Source organism: Homo sapiens, chromosome 13 (assembly GCF_000001405.40).
Source record: "Homo sapiens chromosome 13, GRCh38.p14 Primary Assembly".
In the NCBI taxonomy this organism is placed as follows: domain Eukaryota; kingdom Metazoa; phylum Chordata; class Mammalia; order Primates; family Hominidae; genus Homo; species Homo sapiens.
The window spans coordinates 95,315,585-95,324,063 of NC_000013.11; positions in this window are offsets into that span (position 1 = coordinate 95,315,585).

Consider the following 8,479-nt stretch of genomic DNA (forward strand, 5'->3'; position numbering starts at 1 on the left):
AAATTAGCTGGGCATGATGGCAGGTGACTGTAATCCCAGCTACTTGGGAGGCTGAGGTAGGAGAATCGCTTGAACTCAGGAGGTGGAGGTTGCAGTGAGCCGAAATTGCACCACTGCACTCCAGCCTGGGTGACAGAGCAAGACTCCATCTCAAAAAAAAAAAAAAAAAGTATTATTTCTGAAAGCAAGTAGAAAAAGGAATGTCTCCATCTGTTTCTTTCTTTTTTTTCCTAATAGAGACGAGGTCTCATTGTGTTGCCAGACTGGTCTTGAACTCCTGAACTCAAGTGATCCTCCTGCCTCAGCCTCCTAAAGTGCTAAAATTAGAGGTGTGAGTCACCATGCCTGGCCTCCATCTCCTTTTGATGCTGTTTTTTGTTTGTTTGTTTGTTCGTTTCTGAGACAGAGCCTCACTCTGTTTTCCAGGCTGGAGTGCAATGGTGTGATCTTGACTCACTGCAACCTCTGCCTCCCAGGTTCAAGCTATTCTCCCAGCTCAGCCTCCCAAGTAGCTGGCATTACAGGCATGCGCCACCACACCTGACTTTTTTTTTTTTTTTTTCTGAGACAGAGTCTTGCCCTGTCACTAGGCTGGAGTGCAGTGACACAATCTCGGCTCACTGCAACCTCCACCTCTTGGGTTCAAGCCATTCTCCTGCCTCAGCTTCCCGAGTAGCTGGGACTACAGGCATGTGCCACCACGCCCAGCTAATTTTTGTATTTTTAGTAGAGATGGGGTTTCACCATGTTGGCCAGGATGTTCTCTATTTCTTGACCTTGTGATCCACCCACCTCGGCCTCCCAAAGTGCTGGGATTACAGGCGTGAGCCACCGCACCCGGCCTCTTAGGCTGTTTTATGCACTCTTGGTGTGTAATTCTTAGTGGAGCAGTGGGCTATAATGTGCCCAGTCAGTCCCCAGTGTGCTCTAAGGGTTGAGGTCCGAGCTTTCCCTGCCAGCTTGGGTTGGCAGTTCTTTAGCTACTGAGGGGAAGGTGGTGCCGGTGAGCTGGTCTAGAAAGTGAAAAATCCTAGAGATTACAGCTCTAAGAAGACAGTGCCCAGAGTATCCTGAAACACACGGTGCCCTGAGGATGATGGAGGAGGCTCGAACCCTGTGCTTCACAGTTACCTCCAGGGCTGGATGGTGCTGTTTTAGAGTATCAGATGATGGCTTTCCTCCAAGTCAACCTGGCCTGAGTACACATACTGTGGAAAAGCCACAAGCATCCACTGTTTCACCTCGCAAACCTAACTGTGGGCAAAGGATTACTCAGGTGCCGAGGCAAGAGACTGAAAGCACAAACTGTTTCAGTATAATAAAGAAAATAGTTAGAATAAGAATAGTCATAATACAAATTAGATATAGAGATGATCATGGACATTATCAATCATTAGTATAAAGATTATTAATCATTAGCTTTTAATATTACTCTTTGTTGTATTACTAATATAACCTAGGAATAACTGGCAGGTATAGGGTCAGGTGCTAAAGGGTTATTGTGAGAAGTGACCTAGAAGGCAAGAGGTGAGCCCTCTGTCATGCCTGCATAAGGGCCGTTTGATGGCTCCTTGGTCAAGCGGTAACGCCAGTGCCTGGGAAGGCACCCGTTACTTAGCAGACCGTGAAAGGGAGCCTCCCTTTCCTTGGAGGAGTCAGGGAACACTCTGCTCCACCAGCTTCCTGTGGGAGGCTGGATATCATCCAGGCCTGCCCGCAGTCATCTGGAGGCCTAAACCCCTCCCTGTGTTGCTGTGCTTCAGTGGTCACGCTTCTTGTCCACTTTCATATTCCTCCCATACTCCTGGTTCTTCTTTGAAGTTCTTAGAAGATAGTGGTAGAAGAAATAGTGAAAGTCTTAAAGTCTTGGATCTTTCTGATAAATGCATAGAAGAAAACACTGACATATGCTGCCTTCCCTCTCTGCTTCGGCTACCTAAAAGGGAAGGGCCCCCTGTCCCAGGATTACATGACTTGCTTGACCTTATCAATCACTGGATGACTCAGCCTCCTTACCCTGCCCCCCTGGTCTTGCAAGCAATAAATATCAGTGTGCCCAGCCATTCGGGGCCACTACCAGTCTCCATGTTTTGGTGGTAGTGGTCCTCCAGCCCCAGCTGTTTTCTCTTTATCTCTTTGTCTTGTGTCTTTATTTCTTACAATCTCTCGTCTCCGCACCCAGGGAGAACACCCACTAAGCCCTGTAGGGCTGGACCCTATACCTAACCACTTTCCTTAATACTGGCCAGCCTCTGAAGGGCTGTGTCTGGAATGTTCTGGAGTCTGTTGCCTCTCAGGCCAGACCCACCTTCCCCCTGCCTCGCTTCCTCCACAGCAGAGACTTGAAACCACTCAAAAGAGCAAAAGTCTAATTATTAAACTTTATTCCCTGAAACATGGGTCCAGTCATCCTACATAATAACATTCTTCTTATTATTATTATTTTGTTGTTGTTGTTAAGATGGAATCTTGTTCTGTTGCCCAGGCTGGAGTGCAGTGGCATGACCTTGGCTCACTGCAACCACTGCCTTGCGGGTTCAAGCAATTCTTCTGCCTCAGCCTCCGGAGTAGCTGGGATTACAGGTGAGTGTCACCACACCCAGCTAATTTTTGTATTTTTAGTAGAGACAGGGTTTCACCATGTTGGCCAGACTGCTTTCGAACTCCTGACTTCAAGTGATCTGCCAGCCTGGGCCTCCCAAAGTGCTGGGATTTCAGGCATGAGCCACTGCACCCAGCCACAAAAAACTTTCATGTTTTTATATAATTAAGAGACACCAATCATGTGACTCTGCTGAACAGTGGAGATAATTCCAAGGTAAATATAGTCATATGCTGCATAAAGAGGTTTCAGTCAATGACGTTTTGCATAAATGACTGTTGTCCCATAAGATGATAATACCTCCGGTAATTGGCTACTGAAAAAATTATAATACCATATTTTTACTGTGCCTATTCTATGTTAAGATGCACTAATACTTACCATTGTGTTACAATAATCTCCAGTATTCAGTACAGCAACATGCTTTACAAGTTTGTAGCCTAGGAGCAAAAGGCTACACCTTGTAGCCTAGCTGTGCAGTAGGCTACACCATCTAAGATTGTGTAAGTACACCTGTGATGTTCGTACAATGACAAAATCAGCTAAGGACACATTTCCCAGAATATATTCCTATCATTAAGCCATGTATGAGTATAATCTTTCTCCCAGGACAATGAAGCCTACCCATTTACCTAAGAAGTAGTTTCACCCGGCCGGGCGCGGTGGCTCACGCCTGTAATCCCAGCACTTTGGGAGCCCGAAGCGGGCGGATCACGAGGTCAGGAGTTCCAGACCAGCCTGGCCAACATGGTGAAACCCCGTCTCTACTAAAAATACAAAAATTGGCCGGGCCTGGTGGCGGGCGCCTATAATCCCAGCTACTCAGGGTCTGAGGCGGGAGAATCACTTGAACCTGGGAGGCGGAGGTTGCAGTGAGCCAAGATCCCACCATTGCACTCCAGCCTGGGCAACACAAGCAAAACTCCATCTCAAAAAAAAAAGAAGAAGAAGAAGTAGTCTCACCCTGCAGGGGTAAACCTCCAACAGGAATTACTGATAGAGTTGGGTGTGGTGGCATCTGTTTGCACACCCAGCAGTTCAGGGGGCTGAGACTGGAGGATCACTTGAGCCCAGGAGTTTGAGGTTGTAGCAAGCTATGATTGTGACACTGCAATCCAGCCTGAGCAACAAATCAAGACCCCCAACTCTAAAAATAAAAAGATATACTAATAGCACATGAATATTAGCACCTAATCAGGTTTCTGGTCTGCAACCTGAAACTGTAAAAGTACTAGAAGAAAACATAGGGGGCCTGGCGCAGTGGCTCACACTTGTAATCCCAGCACTTTGGGAAGCTGAGGTAGGTGGCTCATGAGACCAGCCTTGACAACATGGTGAAATCCCGCCTCTACTAAAAATAAAAAAATTAGCCGGGTACGGTGGCACATGCCTGTATTCCCAGCGACTCTGGAGGCTGAGGAAGGAGAATCGCTTGAACTTGGGAAGCGAAGGTTGTAGTGAGCTGAGATCATGCCATTGTACTCCAGCCTGGGTGACAAAGCGAGACTCAAAAAAAAAAAAAAAAAAAAAAAAAAAGAAAAGAAAATAAAGAAAAAGAAAACATAGGGGAAATGGTCCAGGACATTGGCCCGGGCAAAGATTTCTTGGACATCATCCCAAAACCACAAGTAACAAAAGCAAAAATAAACAAATGGAATTGCATAGATTAAAACACTTCTGCATAACAAAAAAATCAATTAATAGAGTGAAGAAAAATCAATTAATAGAGTGAACCCACAAACTAGGAGAAAATATTTGCAAACTCTACATCTAATAAGGGGCTAATATCCAAAATATTAAAACTGCATTGAGATATTACCTCATACCTGTTAGACTGGCTATTATCAAAAATGAGAGATTTAAAGATTACATTACACTACATTAAAGTGTTGGCAAGGGTGCCAAGAAAAGGGAAACTTTGTGCACTGTTGACGGGAATGTGAATTAATACCGCCATTATGGAAAACAGTATGGGGTATGAAAGTTCCTTGAAAACTAAAAGTGGAATGACCATAAGATCCAGTAATCCTACTTGTGTATATATACCCAAACAAACTGAAAGCAGTATACCAAAGAGGCATTTACACTGCCGTATTCATTGCAGCACTGTTCCCAATAGCTAAGGTATGAAAGCAACTCGGAATCCATCCTGAGTTGAATGGATAAAGAAAACATGGTATACATACACAATGAAATGCTATTACCCTTTAAAAAGGGTGGGAGGGGTGAATCCCATCATTTGCAACAACATAGATGAACCTAGAGGACATTATGCTAAGTGAAATAAGCCAGACACAGAAAGACAAAGATGACACGATCTCACTTATATTTGGAATCTTAAAAAGCTGAACTCATGGCCGGGTGTGGTGGCTCACACCTGTAATCCCAGCACTTTGGGAGGCCAAGGGGGCAGATCATGAGGTCAGATCGAGACCATCCTGGCTAACACGGTGAAACCTCGTCTCTACTAAAAATACAAAAAAATTAGCCAGGCGTGGTGGCGGGCGCCTGTAGTCCCAGCTACTCTGGAGGCTGAGGCAGGAGAATGGCGTGAACCCAGGAGGCGGAGATAGCAGTGAGCCAAGATCAAACCGCTGCACTCCAGCCTGGGCAACAGACTGAGACTCCATCTCAAAAAAGAAAAAAAACAGTTAAATTCATGAAAGTAGAGAGTAGAATGATGGTTACCGGAGGCGGGGGAAAGAGAAACTATTGATCAAAGAATATGCAAAGTTTTAGTTAGACAGAAAGAATAAGCTTGGCCGGATGCAGTGGCTCACAAGCATAATTCCAGCACTTTGGAAGGCTGAAGCTGGAGGATTGCTTGAGACTAGGAGTTGGAGACCAGTACTGGCAACAGAGCAAGACCCTGTTGCTACAAAAAATCCCATGTTTTTAATCAGCTGGATGTGGTGGTGCATGCCTGTAGTCCCAGCTACTCGGGAGGCTGAGGTGGGAGGACTGCTTGAGCCCGGGAGTTCAAGGTTGCAGGAAGCCATGATCGCACCACTGCAGTCCAGCCTGGGTAACAGAGCAAGAGCTTGTCTCAAAAAAAAAGGAATAAGCTTTAGTGACCTATTGTACAGGATGGTGATGACAATAAACACAATGTACATTTCAAAATTGCTAGAAGAGTAGATTTTAAGTGTTTCATCACACCAAAAAATGATATGTGAAGTGATAGATTTGTTAATTAGCCTGATTTAATAATTCCACATTGTCAATACATATCAAAACATCATATTATACTGTATAGATATGTACAGTTATTATTTGTCTTGAATATCATGTTGTATTGTAAAAGAAGAAAACAAAAAAACAATTACTTGTCAATTAAAAATAAACCAGGCACAGTGGCTCACGCCTGTAATCCCAACACTTTGAAGGCTGAGGCAGGAGGATCACTTGAGCCCAGGAGTTCCAGACCAGCCTGGGCAACATAGTGAGATCTCATCATTACTAAAAACCAAAAAACACATTAGTCGTGTGTGGCAGTGTGTGTCTGTAGTCCCAGCTATTTGGGGAGGCTGAGGTGGGAGGATCACTTGAATCTAGGAGGTCAAAGCTGCAGTAAGCCAAGACCATACCACTGCACTCCAGCCTGGATGACAGAGTGAGACCCTGTCTCAAAAATATAAGGCCAGGCATGGTGGCTTACGCCTGTAATGCCAGCACTTTGGGAGGCCGAGGCAGGATGATCATTTGAGGTCAGGAGATTGAGACCAGCCTGGCCAACGTGGCGAAACCCCGTCTCTACTAAAAACACAAAAATTAGCTGGGCTTGGTGGCACACGCCTGTAATCCCAGCTACTCAGGAGGCTGAGACAGGAGAATCACTTGAACTGGGGAGGCGGAGGTTGCGGTGAGCCCAAGATCGCGCCATTGCACTCCAGCCTGAGAGACAAGAGTGAAATCATCTCAATAAAATAAAATAAAATAGCCCAGCACGGTGGCTCACACCTGTAAGCCCAGCACTTTGGGAGGCCAAGGCGGGCAGATCACCTGAGGTTGAGAGTTCGAGATCAGCCTGGCCAACATGGTAAAACCCCCATCCCTACTAATAATACAAAAATTAGCCAGGCTTGGTGGTGCATGCCTGTAATCCCAGCTACTCGGGAGGCTGAGGCAGGAGAATCGCTTGAACCCAGGAGGCAGCAGTTGCTGAGTGAGCCAAGATTGCCACTGCACACCAGCCTGGGCAGCAGAGTGAAACTCTGTCTAAAAATAAATAAATTAATTAAATATAATAAAATGTTAAAAAAAGTTCATGGCATTCTCTTATTAACAATTTATCTCTGAATATGTTCTCCTTAATTCCTTATCTTGCCATCTTTGCTGCTTTTTTATTTTTTTTTTTTTTTTGAGACGGAGTCTCGCTCTGTTGCCCAGGCTGGAGTGCAGTCTTGGCTAACTGCAACCTCCGCCTCCCAAGTTCAAGCGATTCTCTTGTGTCAGCCACCTGAGTAGCTGGGACTACAGGCATGCACCACCATGCCTGGCTAATTTTTGTATTTGTAGTAGAGACGGGGTCTCACCATGTTGGCCAGGTTGGTCTCAAAACTCCTGTCCTCAGGTGATCCACCCCCTTCAGCCTCCCAAAGTGCTGGGATTACAGGCGTAAGCCACCATGCCTGGCCAAGGTCTGGCTTTTCTTTATCAACCAATATGAAAATTTCTGTTTCTTATTTGATAAGCTTAGTCACTTTTAACTTAATAAATTATAATTTGGACTTATTTCAACCCTGTTATATCAACCTTCCTATTTATCCTGATTGTACCATGCCATTTAAGAGGAAAAAGGACAAAATTAAATATATAATATGGGTATATATTTTCTTTCTTTTTTTTTTTTGTTTTTTGGGATGGAGTCTGGCTCTGTCACCCAGGCTGGAGTGCAGTGGCGTGATCTCGGCTCACTGCAAGCTCTGCTTCCCGGGTTCACGCCATTCTCCTGCCTCAGCCTCCCCAGTAGCTGGAACTACAGGCACCCGCCACCACACCCAGCTAATTTTTTGTATTTTTAGTAAAGACAGGGTTTCACCGTGTTAGCCAGATGGTCTTGATCCCCTGACCTCGTGATCTGCCCGCCTCGGCCTCCCAAAGTGCTGGGATTACAGGCGTGAGCCACTGCACCCAGCCAGGGTATATATTTTCTACACTTCTAGGTAAAAATGAACAATATTGTGGAAAAGAGACCAGAAAAAACACACCCAAGTATTAATGATCTAGTGGTTTTTCTTCAAGAAATAGAATTATGGGTCATTTCTTCTTCTTTCTATTTTTTAATATTTTTCTAAGTTGTCCATGATGAACATACATACATATATATGTCACCCAGGCTGGAGTGCAGTGGTGCAATCTCAGCTCACTGCAACCTCCGCCTCTGGGTTTAAGCAATTTTCTGCCTCAGCCTCCCGGTAGCTGGGATTACAGGTGCCTGCCACCACGCCCAGCTAATTTTTGTATTTTTAGTAGAGATGGGGTTTCACCATCTTAGCCAGGCTGGTCTTGAACTCCTGACCTCATGATCCACCCGCCTCAGCCTCCCAAAGTGCGGGGATTACAGATGTGATCCACCGCGCCCGGCCAATGAACTTATATATTTTTCTTTTGAGACAGAGTTTCGATCTTGTTGCCCAGGCTAGAGTGCAATGGTGCGATCTCAGCTCACTGCAACCTCCACCTCCAGGGTTCAAGTGATTCTCCTGCTTTAGCCTCCTGAGGAGCTGGGATTACAGGCATGTGCCACCACGCTCGGCTAATTTTGTAGTTTTAGTAGAGACTGGGTTTTCCATGTTGCTCAGGCTGGTCTCGAACTCCCGACCTCAGGTGATCCACCCGCTTTGGCATCCCAAAGTGCTGAGATTACAGGCGTGA